The 17,577-nt window shown below is 51.8% G+C and overlaps 1 protein-coding gene across 12 annotated transcripts in view, besides 4 other annotated features; it reads right to left on the reverse strand.

The window, feature by feature from the left end:
• The window catches only part of LIMS2 (LIM zinc finger domain containing 2), a 43,361-nt gene that overhangs the window by 15,969 nt on the left and 9,815 nt on the right, over window positions 1-17,577 (reverse strand). For 5 of the 12 annotated variants that reach the window (NM_001161404.2, XM_047444970.1, NM_001161403.3 and 2 more), the window contains 3 exons: window positions 3,009-3,168; window positions 436-502; window positions 30-150 (listed from right to left, as the gene is read on the reverse strand). The exons of 1 other annotated variant lie outside the window; for it this stretch is intronic. In NM_001161404.2, the coding sequence (NP_001154876.1) occupies window positions 30-150; window positions 436-502; window positions 3,009-3,164 (344 nt within the window). In that variant the 5' untranslated portion in view covers window positions 3,165-3,168. Of the gene's footprint in view, window positions 1-29; window positions 151-435; window positions 503-3,008; window positions 3,169-3,567; window positions 3,823-9,911; window positions 10,200-17,577 lie in introns of those variants that run through there. 6 more of the 12 variants (XM_011511453.2, NM_017980.5, XM_047444971.1 and 3 more) reach the window with 3 other exon arrangements.
• Window positions 4,320-4,820: an enhancer, noted in NCBI's record as "H3K4me1 hESC enhancer chr2:128416288-128416788 (GRCh37/hg19 assembly coordinates)". NCBI's record gives its function as "activates a minimal SCP1, AML or CMV promoter by ChIP-STARR-seq in primed H9 embryonic stem cells {active_cell/tissue: H9 hESC(primed)}" and the evidence as "EXISTENCE:reporter gene assay evidence [ECO:0000049][PMID:30033119]".
• Window positions 7,395-8,392: an enhancer, noted in NCBI's record as "H3K4me1 hESC enhancer chr2:128419363-128420360 (GRCh37/hg19 assembly coordinates)". NCBI's record gives its function as "activates a minimal SCP1, AML or CMV promoter by ChIP-STARR-seq in naive H9 embryonic stem cells {active_cell/tissue: H9 hESC(naive)}" and the evidence as "EXISTENCE:reporter gene assay evidence [ECO:0000049][PMID:30033119]".
• Window positions 8,430-8,970: an enhancer, noted in NCBI's record as "H3K4me1 hESC enhancer chr2:128420398-128420938 (GRCh37/hg19 assembly coordinates)". NCBI's record gives its function as "activates a minimal SCP1, AML or CMV promoter by ChIP-STARR-seq in naive H9 embryonic stem cells {active_cell/tissue: H9 hESC(naive)}" and the evidence as "EXISTENCE:reporter gene assay evidence [ECO:0000049][PMID:30033119]".
• Window positions 8,971-9,510: an enhancer, noted in NCBI's record as "H3K4me1 hESC enhancer chr2:128420939-128421478 (GRCh37/hg19 assembly coordinates)". NCBI's record gives its function as "activates a minimal SCP1, AML or CMV promoter by ChIP-STARR-seq in naive H9 embryonic stem cells {active_cell/tissue: H9 hESC(naive)}" and the evidence as "EXISTENCE:reporter gene assay evidence [ECO:0000049][PMID:30033119]".

The raw sequence follows: 17,577 nt of genomic DNA on the forward strand, positions 1-17,577 counted from the left end.
TCCTCTCTGGCCCAACACGGCCACCTCACCTGCCGGCATTCTTCACAAAGCCCAGGTCAGCCAGCTCCACATCACACAGCTCGCAGCGGAAGCAGCCCGGGTGCCAGTTGTTGTTCATGGCCTTGATGACGCGGCCAATGATGAACTCACCTGGAAGAAGACAGGTCCCTGCTGGCTGGGGAGCACGTGCCTGTCCCCTCTTCGGACCCTCCCAAGCCCTGTCCACCTAGCACTCCGCCTGCTCTCTGCCTGGCCCATGGGCTCCCTCGTGGGATGGTGATGCCTGTAGGGGGCCTGACGGCTGCCGCTCAGAGAGGCAAGGTGGGGAGTTAGGAAAGAGCTGGGCCAGTTCTGTGTACCCCCTCGGCCCCCTGCCCCCCGCCACTGCTGCCCACTTCCCAGGCAGCCCAGGATGTGTACTGTCACCGGCCTTACCGCAGGATCCACAGCACGGAGCAAACAGCATTTGGAAGTCGTGTTCGCAGTACTTCCGGCCTTCAAACTGCAAAGGGGTCGCAGAGAGAGGACAAGCAAACCACCTATCATCCCCATGAGCAGCCCAGGCCCTTGTTGGGTCAGGACCTGACAGCAGGGGATGAGGCACTGAGGCAGGGGCATGCCGGGCTGAGGCTGGAGCAGTGGGTCCCAGGCCTGGCCAGAGAGGACACTGGCCCTTTTGGGATGGTGGGGTGCAAAGGGAGGTGCCCCCGTGGAAGCTGGAGAGGTCCGTGAGGCCACCTGTCAAAGGGCCACTGGTGTCTACTGAGGATCTGGACCCTGTTGGTCCGGAGAACAGGCTGGGGGCGAGGCGGTTTTAAGCCAGGAGGGATGAGATCCAGTCTGAAGTGTAGTGTCACTTGGTCCTATTTCGTATACCTTCTCTGTGGGAGTATCCAGCTCTCTCAGAGGCCATGAAGACCCGGGTATAGGAGACAGAAGGAAGGGAACGCAGGAAGGGCCTGGGCACGGGGAAGTGGGAAGAGCTCAGGGCTGCGGCCAGCAGGAGCCAGTGTGCACACCCTCCAGGCGGCAGCTGCCAGCGAGGGCCCCTGTGCTGGCCACAAGCGGGGCCAAAGCCTGCCTCTGCTTTCCTCTAACAATTGTATTTTCTGTTTTTTAATTGGTTTTTCCCTGTTCTCTAAAATGAGTGTCTTATTAGACTAAACTGGATATAGCCCTACCCAGTGACCTGTAGAGTCAGGAAGGGCTTAAACTCTTTCAGCAATGAAAATCTTCTGGGCACCTGCTGTGTGTGAGAGAGAGAGGCTTTGTTCTGGGCATATGGCCACCCCTCCTAGAGCTTTGCCCACCCCTCCCGCTGCCTCTACACTTAGACAGCATTCCTCAGGAGGCTGAAGACACTGTGAGGAACAGCGGCTCTTGCTCTGCCAGGCGGACCACAGGCCCCACATCCATCCACCAGCCAGTCCCATCAGCTCTACCTTGAAACAGAGCCAGCATCTGACCCCTGGCCACCACCGCCACCACAAGCACAAGTGATGTTCTGGTAAATGCTCAACAGCCAGCTCTCTGGGGCGCAGAGGCAGGCCCTGCTGTGGGGCGTTTGCCAGTGTCCATGGTGTGAATATTCCCGTCATGGCCAACTCCTGGCTGCCAACATGACATCGATGTGGACTTGAGGGGAGATGTGCAGTGGCCACACCAGCACAATGGACAGAAATAACCCCATCAGCATAGACGATAGTAAAGTGGAACAAAATAATTAGCAAGTGGTATGCTTTGAGTATTTGTTACCTTTGTTTTTAATAAAATTGTATCCCATTGTACGCTGATATAATTTAATTTTTAAACAATAACTCTGTTGCCCAACCAGCTCCCAAGATTGTTGATGATTTAACGACTGCTCCTGTGAGCTGGTGGGGGCCCCTTCACTTTCATCTGGGTGATTGCACTAATTCAGCTCCTGGTCCCCCCAGCCTCCTGGCCCAGCCTCTGTTCCTGCCCCGCCTTACATCCTCTCCTCAGCACAGCGGCCACAAGCCTCCTTTTTTTTTTCTTTCTTTTTTTTTTTTTTTTTAGATGGAGTCTTGCTCTGTCCCACAGGCTGGAGTGCAATGGCGCGATCTCGGCTCACTGCAACCTCTGCCTCCCAGGTTCAAGTGATTCTCCTGCCTCAGCCTCCCGAGTAGCTGGGATTACAGGCACCTGCCACCATGCCAGGCTCATTTTTTGTATTTTTAGTACAGACAGGGTTTCACCATGTTGGCCAGGCTGGTCTTGAACTCCTGACCTCAGGTGATCCATCTGCCTCCGCCTCCCAAAGTGCTGGGATTACAGGCGTGAGCCGCCGCGCCCGGCCAGGTCACCTTTTCAAATGTCAGCAGATAGTGTGACTCCTCTGCTCCACACCCCGAGGTGGCTCCTGCCTCTTGCAGAGGGGAAGCCTATGGCTCCGTAGAGGCCCGTGGGGCCAAGCGAGATCCACCTCCCTTTCCTCAGCTCCTGGCCTTCTCCCTCTCATGCCCTCGGCTTCCATCACACCAGTCTTCCTACTGCTCTCCATACACCCCATGTTCTCCCACCACAGGGTATGTGCATATGCGGTGCCCTCTGCCCAGTATGTCTCCCTCCCCTCAGGTGTGCCCAAACCTCACCTTCCCTGAGCACCACCGCACCCCACCCCGGGAACCCTGACCCCCAGGGCATCAGCACCAGCTGGTGGGCCATGCGGTTGCTGTGCTCACTGTCTAGTCCCCAGGGAGGGCAAGCACCACCAGGGCAGGCTCTTCCTGCCCCCAGGGCCTGCCCAGCATCTGCCCAGAGGAGGCTGGTGAAAGGTGGCTCTCTGTTAGCACCCAGGGCACCTGGGGTGCTGTTCACATCTCACAGGTGAAGGATGGGCCCGTGCAGGAGCTCAAGCCTGGTTCTGGGCTGGCTCCAGACCTGGCCCTGTCACCAGTCGGGACCACTGCATGGAGCCCGGCCCACCCGCTCATAGAGGGCAGACTCCGAGCTGGGTCTGAGAAAGCCCTCAGTAGTGTCCTCACCTCATAGAAGAGCCCCTCGGGGAAGGGCCGGAAGCACTGGGCACACACGAAGCAGTGCTCATGGTACAGCTCCCCATTGCTGTTGACAATGCGCTCGGCGGGGGAGAAGCGGGCCTGGCAGCGCTGGCACACGGCGTTGGCCAAGGCGTCCGACATATTGCTGGGGGCAGGAGACAGGAGGAGTGAGTCAGAGCTGGTCAGGGGTGCAGATGGGGCACACGCGGGGGCCTGCGCCCGACAGACACACCTCGTATTAAAAAGTGAAGACGCTCTGCAGGATCAGGAAAATCGCTCTAACCCAGGGTCCAGGCTGCTCAGTGCTTGTAGTGCCCACCCCTTGGGGTGTCAGGGGCCCAGTCAACTCCCACTTGGGCCCCTATTACCCCTTCTTCAGGGACCAGAGAGTCTCGCACACAGAACACCACCCAGCACAGGTGAGCGGCTCTGTATTCACACTCTCATTTAATCCCCAGGGCAATACTGCAGCTACTATTATTATGGCCTCTTCCAGAAAAGGGACCTAAGCCTCAAAGAGGTTGAGTAACTTGCCCAAGCTCACACAGCAGAGCGGGGTCCACACTTGAATCCAGACTGCTCAGTCTTCCATGGTTCCATCCTCTGCACCATGAGTTAGTTTCAAACTGACTGCCTCCAATAAACACATAACCACCCAAACACAGAGCAGGCAAGAGGGTAGCTGGGTGCGTGTGCAGAATGGCTCAAGCCTGTCATCCAGAGCACTGTGGGAGGCCAAGGTGGGCGGATCCCTTGAGCCCAGGAGTTCGAGACCAGCCTGGGCAATATGGCAAGAATCCATCTCTAATAAAAATACAAGAAAACAAAAAAATTAGCCAGGTGTGGTGGTGCAAGCCTGTAGTCTCAGCTACTCTGGAGGCTGAAGTGGGAGGATGGCTTGAGCCTGGGAGGCCGAGGCTGAGTGCCACTGCACTCAGGCCTGGGCAACAGAGCAAGACCCTGTCTCAAAATAAAAAATAAATAAAAAAGACAAGAGTATGAATCTTTGAGACGAGACGGGAGTGTGGTGAGGGGGAGCAAATCTCATCCATACTGGGCACTGCCTGTCCCCAGAGTCAGTGGTGGGTTTCCTTCTGGGAGGGGTGAAATGCGAACTACAGGGGAAAAGCCCACAGTGAGCCAGGCCCGCAATCAGTCCAGCCCCAGGGCCCTTCGGCACAGCCAGGAGGGGCCTTTTAGACTCAAAAACAGGGTCAGGATGTAGTCCTAAACACCCCAACTGCCTCTACGACCTTCAAAGAACCGGATACCCCACACCTTTTGCTAGGAAGGGAGAACGTGGGTTCTGTCTCAAGTGTCAACTCCAGTGGATTCCTGGAAGACTGGGCAGAGAGGGAGCATCAGGCTCGCTGGGGAGTGACGCAACCAGCTGGTAACGTCTGCCTGGTTGCAGCCGGGTGGTGGCAGGACTCGAGTGCAGTGCCTTTGGGAATACCTCTCCGCCTGCTCTGCCTCCCAGGATGAATCCCACCCAGCAGTCACTGCCGCGACATCATGAGGGAAATGCTTGGTGAGTGAGGCTCCTGTCGGGCTGTTCTGCGGCCTGCAATCTGGGCAGGGCCAGTCTGAAGAGTGTCAACCACAGAGAAGAGGGGCCTTAGGATGAGTCCAGGGGTGGACGACAGGGCTGCGCTTAGGGTCTGGGCATGGGCTGTGGGCGGAGGGTCTCACAGGAGGCTGCTGCGAAATGGAGATGGACTGGAAACTTGAAAGGGGCACCCAGGCTGTCCTTTCTTCTCTGCTTAGGGACCCATGTGGCAGAGGCTGTCTGGAAGGCCATTCAACCAGGCTTTCTGGGCATGCTGGGCTTCTGTCCACCTTGGCCTGCCCTCTGGGGTGCTTAGGAGACCAAAGCCACCATGCGAGCCCACATTTAGGCCAGAGGGGCAAGGAAGCAAAGATGGTGGCAACAGGAGTTGGGAAGAAACCAAGAAGAAAGGAGGCCTCGGCACCCAGCGGCTGGTCCTCAGTGCTCCCAGCTCCCTGCTGGTCTCCACGGGGCGAGCCAGGCAGGCCACCAAGGTGGAGCCTGGCCGCCCCAAGCCACCCTCGAGGGCTGGGCAGGGCTTCACTAGGACAGGCTTGGTTTCCTTCCGGGAGAACACTGTGAACCTCCTCTTCTGAAACACACACCCAAGGTGGCAGGGAGGACATTCCAGTGCCTGCCCATGAGCGAGACCTTGGGAGTCTTAGAGAAGTCGGAAATCAACAGGAAATCCCATGGCTCTGGGCCTGGAATTCCTCACTCCAAGGACCCAGAAAACGAAGCCAAATTAAGGACTTCCACCCAGCCCCAGCCTTTCAGATTCCGCCTTAAAGCCAGACCTCTAGACCCCAGTGAGTGAGCACACATCCCTCGCACCCCCTTCCAGGCTCCTGTTCTCTGCCTCCAGGAACTGCTGTTTAGGGCCTGCACCCACACGCCTGCCCCCTCTGGCTTCCAGCTGTGCTGACCCTACTCCCACGGGCCAGGTGCTGCTGGGACCTGTGACTTTCCTTGTGGTTATGGGCACTCCTGCCCTGCTAGCCCAGCTGCTTCACCACCCTTCCTCCCTCGCCGTTTCATAAACACACCCTCAACTAGCACTCCCCAGTTACCTTGCTTCCCACTGAAAGGGGAAGCTGGCTGGGCTTCTGGTTGGGGTGGGGACTTGGAGAACTTTTCTGTCTAGCCAAAGGATTGTAAATGCACCAATCAGTGCTCTGTGTCTAGCTAAAGGTTTGTAAACACACCAATCAGCACTTGGTAAAAACTGACCAATCAGCACTCTATAAAATAGACCAATTAGCACTCTGTAAAATGGACCAATCAGCAGGATGTGGGAGGGGCCAAATAAGGGAATAAAACCAGGCCACTCGAACCCACAGCAGCAACCAGTTGGGGTTCCTTTGCTTGGTGTGGAAAGTTTGTTCTTTTGCTCTTTGTAGTAGCTTTTGCTGCTGCACGTTCTTTGGGTCTGCGCCACCTTTATGAGCTGTAATGTTCACAGCGAAGGTCTGCAGTTTCAATCCTGAAGCCAGCGAGACCATGAACCGACGGGGAGGAATCGTTTCGAGGAACAGATAATTCCGGATGTGCCACCTTTAAGAACTGTAACACTCAGTGGGAGGGTCTGAGCCTTCACTTCTGAAGTCAGTAAGACCACAACCCCACCGGAAGGAAGAAACTCCGGACATATCTGAACGTCTGAAGGATCAAACTCCAGACATACAGTCTTGAAGAACTGTAACACTCACCGTGAGGGTCCATGGCTTTATTGTTGAAGTCAGCGAGACCAAGAACCCACCAAAAGGAGCCAATGCTGGACACACCTGGTCAACCTGACAGCAGCCTGGCCACACACACTCTCCTCTACCTTCCGGCTCATCTTCCAGTTAGACCTGATAGCCAGTCTGTAAGCAGTTCCTCGGCTGGTCCCTGAATGCATCCAGGGAGATCATTGCTGCCTGTGGCCGACAGTATCGCACAAAGCGTGGCATAGGTGGGGGTGGGGGGGGCGGATGTGGGGGTGGCCACCTCCTTCCTGTGCCCAGGGGCTGCCCCAGCCCAAGTCACAGAGAGCCCCTAACAGCAGCTCTGTGAGGGAACATTCTGCTCCAAGAGCAAAGACGGGACAGACAGAAGCATGCAGAGACAACGGAGACACAGCACCATGAGAGAACACGCTTCCTGACTCCTGCAGGGGAGGAAGAGAGGCAGTGTGACACAGAGAGGCCGGCAGAGGCCTGGGCCCAGCCGCTCAGCTCTACACGTGATAGCCCCAGCCACCAGCCTGGGACCTGGAGAGAGATGCTCGCTTCTGTAGGCCTCACGTTCTCTTTTGTAAAGAGGTGCACCAGAGAAACAGCCACATCGAGGAGCCAAAGTGAATGAATGGCACCCACGTGTCCAGCACAGAGCACCAGGCCAGGCAGGGCAAAGCGCTGGATAAGGAGAACTGTTGTTTTCCAGCAACTCTGGGAGCCTTCCAGAGTCCCTCTGCATGGCTCAGCCTAGGGGAAGGCCTGCAGGCTGCCTGCGGTCCCTGCGAGAGGTCAGAGGGTCAGAGACGTGGACATTCCATGTCCTCCTTTGCACATTCCTTCAAGATAGAGAGCACAGAGTCTGTCCAGTTATCCCCCAGGAGACACCACTACCCACCCCCAGCTGGACTACGTAGAACATACTGCCCAGGGCACACCCAGCCTGGAAGCCAAACCCCAGAGGTGGGGGAGAGCACACCATCTCATGCCCTTCCTCAGCCCTCTCCAGCACCCCAGAAGGCTCTCAGTTTTGACAGCCAATACAAGCCAATTTGTTGCAAGATGTCCCTGAGTCTGAGGTGGGATCAGAGGAGCCTGCTCTGTTCCAGGCCTTTGTATAAGGGGAGGAGGCTGGTTCCAGATAAGGAGATTGAAGCACAGAGAGAGTCAGTAACCAGCTGAGGGTCACAGAGGATTGGACTCATGTTCCTCCCATCTCCTCTTGGCATCCCCCATTCCGGATTCTGTTTCTTCAACAACCCCAGACCTTCCTCCATCCCAGCCTTCCTGATATCTGAGTCAAGGAAGTGTGTGTAAGGATCTGGGAAGAGTTGGGGGCCAGCCACAAGAAGTCTGGTCACACCCAAGATGAGCAAGTGTTGCTGAGGCCACGTCGGCCTGAGCAGCAGTCAGACCAAGGGTGTGTCCCCTATAGCCAGGCACACCAGGCTGCAACCCTGGCCCCGACGCCCCCTGTCTGTGTGACCTGCAGCACAGGACTCTGAACCTCAACTTCCTCGTTTATAAAATGGGCCAGGAATAGCTACCTCCAGGGACTGTTGGGAGGGTTCAGTGAGGCCATTCCTGCAAGCACAGCCCATGCTTCTGTCCTCCTTCCAACGAAGTCCTCACTGAGCACCTGCACTGATAGGCACTATTCCAGATGCAGAGGGTTTCGGGGAGGGACCCTACTGCAGCACAGCCCAGGGAGCAGCTCCAGTCCCTCAGCACTGCCTGGGCTTCCTCCCTGCCCCGCCTCCATGAAGCCAGCCAGAGGCCAGTGTCGGGTCACCTGGCCACATGAGGTCAACAAAAATGTACAAAAAGCCAGCCCACCATGGGGACGCTAGAAAATTAACATGCTGCCTGTTCTCACTCGTAGGTGGGAATTGAACATTGAGAACACATGGACACAGGAAGGGGAACATCACACACCAGAGGCTCTTGTGGGGTGGGGGGTGGGGGGTGGGGGGTGGGGGGAGGGATAGCATTAGGAGATATACCTAATGCTAAATGACGAGTTAATGGGTGCAGCAAACCAACATGGCACATGTATACATATGGAACAAACCTGCAGGTTGTGCACATGTACCCTAAAACTTAAAGTCTAATAATAATAAAATAAAAAAGAAAAAATTAACATGCTGCCTGGGCTGCTATACACAAGATGCATTGACACCATCAGAAACAGACTCCAAATCAGTATGAAACCTGTCTGAAATTAGAGCTTTTTTGAAGCCCTTGCCATATCTCTTTGCTCTAGTGGCTTTTCTTTTAAGCAGGTACAACTGAAACATGTTACACTAACAACAAAGAACTGACAAAGGACATGAACCAGAAGTTCAAAGAAAAACAGTGTGAATAGTCACATGCGCATGCATGCTCAGGGCTGCCCCAGGCCTGTCATCATCGTGCCTGTCCTGCCTGCATCTCAGCTGTGGTATCAGTACTGTGAAAATCACTCCAGAACAGCCTTGGGGCCATCAGTGCCCTGGCCACTCGCAGCCTGGTACCACAGTTATGCCACACGCATCCAGGGCTGTCCAGAGGTTGACCAGGGAGGGTGCCTGCTCCAGCTCTGCCACACTCAGGTGAGTGACTTGGCCTCCTGAGTCTGGGGGTCCCCACCTGAACAGCAGGCTGCCCCAGACCTGCCATGCCAGCACAAGCGGGAGCCCAGCATGCAGCAGGGACTCCACAGATGGCCGTGCTGCCGGCCTGCAGTTCCCGCCCTCCACTCGGTGCCCTCCTTCCTCTTCTGTTCTCAGCAAAAGATATCTTTGATGGCTCAGTCCTCTAATTGCCACTCTGGGAGCCTTCCCTGACCACACACAAGGAGCTGAGAGTGGGCTATGCTTGCCCTGGGTGGCACTGGCCTTCCTCTGCTCCTGGGTCCTCCAGGCCCTCCCCTACCTCTGCGACTTATGTTCCTGGCTCCCTCCCTGCCCCCCCGCCCCAGCCCTTCTGCCCAGCCTTGGCCTCCTCCCCAGGGTCCCTATCTGTCACCTTGATGCCAAGGACCCCAAGGTCACAGCCCTATTGCTCTCTCTTCCCCGCTGGCCCCTCGGCACTGCAAAGGCAACATTTTCAGGAGCTCCTCCTCATGCCCCTGACCCCAAGAGTGAGGGGAGGTGGCTCCACCACCATCCCCGTGCCCCTCCCAACCTCCCCATCCAGAGCCAACTCATTCTCTGAGATGCCCTGAGGACCATCCTGAACCCCACTGCTGGAGTCAGTCTAACCTGGGTTCAAATCACAGCATAGCCATGTTTGGGGTGGGTGAGTCCAGCAGGTGTCTGCTCTGCTCAGAACCTGTCTGCTCATCTATAAAGTGCAGCATGATCACCCCCGTCTGAAAGCAGTGCTGGGGGCTACACAGGCTCCCTCGTCTCTAACATAGGTCCCTGGGCGCACCCTGCCAGGAGAGCTGATCACAGGTGACATCCAACCCTGTTAGATAAAGTCGCACGCGCCCACCCTGTCGCCAACCCAGGGCCCATCCGACGCCGGGGCAGAGCCCACGGCGTCGGAGGGCCCCGGTCGGGTTTCCGAGGGAAGGCCTGCCCTGCCGCCGCAGCTTTCCGGCCATTGTCCCCGCCACCCGCCCCGCCCCTGGCCACCTACCCCGTGGCTGGCGGCGGGCTCTGCCGGTGCTGGCGCCGCCGGTACAGCCCCGACGCGGCCAGCGCACCCAGCCGGGCCGCCATGGCGCGGGGCAGCCGCCTTGAGGTCGCGGGCGCGGGCCGCCTGGTGCAGGGGCTATGGGACCACCTCGGAGGGGAGGCGCGGCCGCCTGGGGCCAGACACCAAGACGGGACGGGCGTGTGGGCGCCTCCCCCGCGCTGGTCGCGAGCTCACGTTACGCGCTGGGATCTCCAAAGGGCAGCAGAGTCAACTCCAAATAGAAAGGATATTGTTCGCGCCGCGGGGGCAGCTCCTGAAAGCTGAGGCTGGCGGGGGTTGGGTCCCGCTGGGAGGGGACTGGTCTGGGAAGGCCCCAGACAGCACTGAGGTGAGGTCCACAGTGGCGGCAGGACACCCAGGAGGTCTCCGGCTGCCACCTGCCAGGAGGAAAGCCTGTGCCCGTGGACACACTGAGGAGGGCAGAGTCAGCTGAGGAGGACAGGGAGGACCTGGCGCCTTTAGGATCCCTGCCAACAGTTAGGAAACCGAGGACCGGAGCCACACAGGCCCACATTCTGCTTTGCTCCCTTCTCTGAGACCCTCTGCCACAAACATCACCGTGGGGCACCCAGACCAGGGCAGAGCCGATCCTCTGGATCTGGCCAACAAATGGTCAGGCACCCCAAAAGAGGTCCTTATTTTAGAGAAAAGGCAATCCTCCAGCTTCCAGGGGAGCAGACGCAGAGGGACCTGGTGGCAACCACCAGGAAGGCACCATGTACCCCGCATTTTTACCCAGAGAGACTGGCAAAGTTACTTGTGATTCATAAACACCCGCGGTAGGCATCCAAACTGTGACCAAGGTAAGCCTGGTCAGCAGTACAATAAAGATCCAGAGCACTCATGGAAATCTTTAGCATTGATCCCATTTCCCTGAAAGACCTTTCTAGAAAGGTCAGAAAGCTTGAGCAGTATCTTCTTCTGCCTTCTGAAAGCAAGAGCTGGCAGCCGTCACTAAAGACAGCAGGGCACTGATCCTCCCAAACTAGGGTGGGAGAAAGCCTTGGAGGGGCTCACTGGCATTCAGATACCAGGCCCACACGCCACTGAGGAACACACTCACCCAGCAAGTCCCAACAGGAGGAGGTACTCATTAAGCACCCTGGCAGTCAAGTGACGACAAGCATTGGGTACAGTATAATTTGTAAATGTAGTCCAATTCCAAAGTTGCCCAACACTGATCAGTTCAACAAATAGTTTTTAAAGGTGGCCCCAGGGGCTAAAGGGCATGGAGAAGCTGAGCCCAGAGGAGCCAAAATGAATAGGGAATACCGCTGACTCTCTGATGTAGGTAGCCGAATGCTTAAGAAAACTTACACCGAAAATGTTCTTAACAGCAGCTACAAGTCAATGCCATAGGGCCTAGACCCTCTCACCACTCCCGACTCAGCCCATCCATGTGGAAATCCTCAACACTAGAATCCAGGACTCTCATGCAGACCCGCAGTTTTCTGTAAGGAGGAAACATTTATTTAGGGCTCCAAGGGTCACATATAGCACTGGAAAGGAGGCTACAGCCACAAGTGTTTTGTGCAACATAATCTGTAAATGAAGTTCAAGCACAAGTTTACCAAGTACTAATCAATTCAACAAATATTTACTATAAAAGCGGACATCGAAGGCTAGAAATTGAGAGAGGCTTAGAGTCTGATTGAGCCCAAATCCCAAATCTCTGCACAACCTTACCACCCATTCTGCAGCCTGTCCTGCTGCAGGGATGGGATTGGGAGCCACAGATACTGTAAACTGAATCTAGAACTCTATACAAAGTATTATACACCATGACCAAATGGGATTTGGTTCAGTGCTCTGGCTCTAGATATTTGCAAAAACACCGAGAGTGATGTCAGCAGAAAGTGGTGGAGTAAGGACCTCCAGAAGTTCATCCCTCCATAAAAGCAATGAAAAACCTAGCAAAAATTATCAGAATCTACTCTTTCAGAACTCTGCAAATCCACCAAAGGTTTTCAGTAACCCTAGGAACATTTGGTCAAGAAAAACAGATGAATCTTGGTAAACAAACAAACAAACACAAACCAGTGAGGTTTGTGTTGTTTTAACTTATCCTAGTCCCTTATTCCTGCTCCCTAACTCCATGGCTTCCTTGAATAATAATAGCTCGTGGTCCCAGTAAGGAGGTAGCAGAATGGAATATTATGAACAACTGTATGCCAATAAATGAAATAACCTACTGAAATGGAGAGATTCCTAGAAGGACACTACCAAAACGAACTCAAGAAGAAATAGAAAATCCAAATGTATCAGTCTAAATTTTCATACTGCTATTAAGAACTTCATGAGACTCGGTAAATTATAAAGGAAAGAGGTTTAATCGACTCACAGTTGAACAGGGCTGGGGAGGACTCAGGAAACTTATAGTCGTGGCAGAAGGCAAAGGGGAATCAAGGCACCTTCTTCACAAGGTGGCAGGAAGAAATACCAAGCAAAGGGGGATGAGCCCCTTATAAAACCAGCAGATCTTGTGAGAACTCACTATCACAAGAACAGCATGGGGGGAAACACCCCCATGATTGAATGACCTCCACCTGGTCTCTCCCTTGACACGTGGGGATTATAGGGATTACAATTCAAGATGAGATTTAGTTGGGGACACAAAGCCTACCCAAATCACTTAGTAAGGCCAGTAACATGTAAAGAGACTGAGACAGTAACCAAAAAACTTGTCACAAAGTAAAGCCAGAGCGACATGGCTTCACTGATGAATTATATCAAAGGTTTAACTAGAATTAACACCAAACCTACAAACAAACATACAAAACACCAGTGTGGTGGCACATGCCTATAATCCCAGCTACTCAGGAGGCTGAGGCAGGAGAATCACTTGAACCTGGAAGGCGGAGGTTGCAGTGAGCTGAGATCACGCCACTGCACTCCAGCCTGGGTGACAGAGTGAGATCTTGTCTCAAAAAGAGAAAAAAACAAAAAACAAAAAACAACAAACCTTCACAAAATCTTTCCAAACAAAAGAAAAGAAAGACTAGGAGGGAATACTTCACAACTCATTCTATAAATATTATCTTGATCTCAAAATAAAATGCTAAAGTCACATAGATGCAAATGTCCTCGATAAAATACAATAAATCTAACACTCTATAAAAAGTATTATACACCGTGACCAAATGGGATTTATCCCAAGAACATAGGGTTGGTTTCACATCCAAAATTCAATGTAATATACCATATCAATAGAATATAGGGAGGACACTCTATGACCATCTCAACAGATGCAGAAAACACATTTGGCAAAATCCAACATCTTTTCATAATAAAAGCACCCAACAAACTGGGAATAGAAGGGAACTTCTTCAATTTGATAAGGGGCATCTACCCAAAACCCATAGCTAACATCATACTTAGTGATGAGAAAATGAATGCTTTCCTCCTAAGGTCAGGGGGATTTCCAGTCCGCTATTTGTTTTCAACATTGCACTGCAGATTCTATCAAGGACAGTTAGACAAGAAAAAGAAATAAAAGACATCTAGTTTGAGAAGGAAGAGTAAAACTATTTTTATTTACATATTACATACTCATATATAGAAAACTCGGAAGAATCCCTCCTCAAAAAAAGAAACCCTATTTACAGATAAGAAATGAGTTCAGTAAGTCTGCAAGGTATACACTCAATATACCAGAATCGCTAGCAATGAGAAATCTGAATATGAAATAAAACAACCCCATTTGGGACAGCATCAAAATGAATAAAATACTTAGGAGTAAGTTTAACAAAATAAATGCAAGACTTCTTATTCACTGAAATTATAAAACATTATTGATATAAATTAAAGAAGACCTAAATAAAGATATCCCATGTTCATGGATTGGAAAACTTAATATTGTTAAGATGGCAATACAACACTACATCAAATTGACCTATAGATTCAATACAATCTCCATTAAAATTCCTGCCTTTTTTAAAGAAATAGACAAGGCATTCCTAAAATTTATATGAAAATGCAAGTGACACAGAATAATCAAAACAACTTTAAAAAAAAACAAAGAGGCCAGGTGCAGTGGCTCACACCTGTAATCCTAGCACTTTGGGAGGCCAAGGCAGGTGGATCACTTGAGGTCAGGAGTTCAAGACTACCCTGGCCCACATGGCAAAACCCGATCTCTACTACAAATATAAAAATTAGCCAGGTGTGGTGGCACATACCTGTAGTCCCAGCTACTCAGAAGGCTGAGGCAGGAGAATCGCTTGAACCCAGGAGGTGGAGGTTGCAGTGAGCTGAGATCAGGCCACTGCATTCCACCCTGGGTGACAGAGTGAGACTCCGTCTCAAAAAAAAAAAAAAAAAAAAAAAAAAAAAAAAAAAAAAAAAAACACCTTACTTAAAAATTACAATTTACTTACTAAAAAATTGTAAGTGTGGCAGTGGTGTAAGGATAGACATATACACCCATAGAACAGAACCAAGAGTCCAGAAATAGGCTGGGTGCAGTGGCTCACGCCTATAATCCCAGTACTTTGGAAGGCTGAGGCAGGCAGAGCCCAGGAATTCAAGACCAGCCTGGGCAACATGGCAAAATCTCATCTCTACAAAAAATACAGAAAGTAGCCAGGTGTGGTGGTGTGTACCTGTGGTTCCAGCTACTCAGGAGGCTCAGGTAGGAGGATCACCTGAGCCCAGGGAGGTTGAGACTGCAATGTACCAAGATCTTGCCACTGCACTCCAGCCTGGGTGAAAGAGTGAAACCCTGTCTCGAGAGTCCAAAAATAATCCCATATATTTGTGGTCAACTGATTTTTGACAAGAGTGCCAAGACCATTCAATGGGGCGAAGAGTAGTCTTATCAACAAATGATGCTAGGACAACTGGATAGCTACATGCTAACAGTATAAAACTCCTAGAAGAAAACAGATGTTTTCATTTCATGAGCCAGGATTAGGCAATAGTTTCCTAAACATGACAAAAAAAACTCAAGCAACTAAAGAATAAGGAAATAAATTGGATTTCATTAAAAGTTAAAACGTGTGTATCAAACGACACAATCAAGAAAGTGAAAAGATGATCCACAGAAAAGGAAAAAATATTTGTAAATCGGCTGGGCACGGTGGCTCGTGCCTGTAATCCCAGCACTTTGGGAGGCTGAAGCGGGAGGATCACCTGAGGTCAGGAGTTTGAGACCAGCCTGGCCAACATGGTGAAACCCCATCTCTACTAAAAATACAAAAAAAAAATAGCCAGGCATGGTGGCACACGCCTGTAGTCCCAGCTACTGGAGGGGCTGAGGCAGAAGAATCGCTTGAACCCAGGAGGCGGAGGTTGCAGTGAGCTGAGATTGCACTACTGCACTCCAGCCTGGGCGACACAGTGAGACTCCATCTTAAAAAAAAAAAATTTGCAAATCATATGTCTGAGAAGTGTCTAGTATTCAAATAAATAAGGAACTCTTACAATTCAACAATAAAAAGACAACCCGATTTAAAAAATGGGCAAAGAGTTTGAATGGACATTTTTCCAAAGAGGATTTACAAGTGGCCAACAGATACATGAAAAGATGCTCAACATTATCAGTCATTAGGGAAATGGAAATCAAAACCACAATATGACACCACTTCACACCTACTAAACCGGACAACAATAACAAGCATCAGCAAGGATGTCGGGAAATTGGAACCTTCATACATTCCTGGTGTAAAATTTAATAAATGTAAAATTGTTCAATTACTTGGAAAACAGCTTGATAATTCCTCAAAAAGTTTAACATAGAGTTACCATATGCCAGCAATTCCAGTCCTAGGTATATATTCAAGGAGAAAATGTATGTTCACACCAAAACTTGTATGGGAATGTTCATAGCAGTATTATTCACGGTAGCCAAAAAGTGGAAACAATGCAAATGTCTACCACGGATGAAGGAAGAAACAAACTATGGCACAATGGAATATTATTCACCCAGAAAAAGGAATGAAGTACTGATTCATGCTACAATATACGGATGAATCTTGGAAATATGTTGTTAATAAATGAAAGAAGCCAGGCACAAAAGGCTATATAATATATGGCTCCATTTATGTGAAATGTCCAGAACAGACAAATCTGTAGAGACAGAAGGCAGGTTACTGGTGGCCAGGGCTGGGAGGAGGGGGAAATGAGGACTGTCTGCAAATGAGTACAAGGTTTCTTTTAGGAATGATTAAAATGTTCTGGAATTAATGGTGATGGTTGCACAGCCTTGTGAATGCACGAAAAACCACTGAATTTTACAATCTAAAGTGGTGAATTTAATAATATGTGAACTATGTCTCAGATTTTAAAAAACACGTGAGTAATGAAGAATGCAACTACATGGCTTCTTAGAGGCTGGAACTGAGGCCCCAAGCTATGAGGCAGGGCTGCCTCCCCAAGGCCCTGGGGCACGTGCCCTCAGCCCAGTGGGCAGAGGCAGAGACGGACAGAGGCAGAGATGCCACAAACAGGCTGTCCTCCAGAGCCAGCTCCCCCACCAGACTCCTCGCTGGGAGGCTGAAGACAACTCCATGAGTTTCCCGTGTATTCCTCCAAGGACGTGGGTGAGGACACAGTAGGTTTTATGTTCATATGTGTATTCAGTCACCTCATCTCAGCAAGACATATGCATTCACTCATGGAGGTATCTCACTAGGGTGGTCATCCTGCTAAGTCATCTAAGTAAATATTCACCTTCAGAAATGTACACGCTACACCTCAACAGAACAAGCAAGACAGTGACAGTGCCTCCCTTGGCCCCTTTCCCACCTGGAAGTGAAGACCTAAGGGATGGTTAAGCCTGCATGCAGGCTGGGCACGGTTGTTCACGCCTGTAATCACAGCACTTTGGGAGGCCAAGGTGGGTGGATCAAGAGGTCAGAAGATCAAGACCACCATGGCCAACACGGTAAAACCCCATCTCCAATAAAAATACAAAAAAAATTAGCCGGTTGTGGTGGTATGCACCTGTAGTCCCAGCTACTTGGGAGGCTGAGGCAAGAGAATTGCTTGAACCTGGGAGGCAGAGGTTGCAGTGAGCTGAGATCACGCCACTGCACTCCAGCTTGGGTGACAGAGCGAGACTCCATCTCAAAAAAAAAAAAAAGAGCCTGCATGCGGCACAGCACAGATAGGGACAGACAGAAGAAGGATAACCCGCTGTGGATAGAAAGCCCGGGCTCCTCTCCCCAGTGGCTCCCTGGGCTGTCCCTTGCCAGTTCACAAGTGCTGACTGTTAACTATTCAGGAATTCCGTAAAGCGTTAATGCCATGTTGGTGGCTTGAAATGAGCCCAGGTGGGGGTATCACACCACGGGACTGGACACCCTGCAGATCAGTCCCTCCATCCCTATTATGCCACTGGCCGGCTAGAAGGGGCCAGTCAGCACCAGAAGTAGAAGAAAAAGGAAGGAGGTGAGGGGCCATGGCAGTGCCACCTGGCCCAGTCTGGGGCTCAGGGCTCAGTGGTGCCACATCACAAGCCACATCACTTGTTACCCACTTTACAGTTTGCTTAAGCCCCTGACGCCACTGCAGCCTCGTGTGCTGTGCTGAGGGCTCTAGCTGCAGTCAGCTGCCCCTTGGCCGACACCTTCTGCCTAGGGGACCACCGGGCACACTCCTCACCCGG

The sequence above is a fragment of the Homo sapiens genome, chromosome 2 (genome assembly GCF_000001405.40).
Source record: "Homo sapiens chromosome 2, GRCh38.p14 Primary Assembly".
Taxonomy (NCBI): Eukaryota; Metazoa; Chordata; class Mammalia; order Primates; family Hominidae; genus Homo; species Homo sapiens.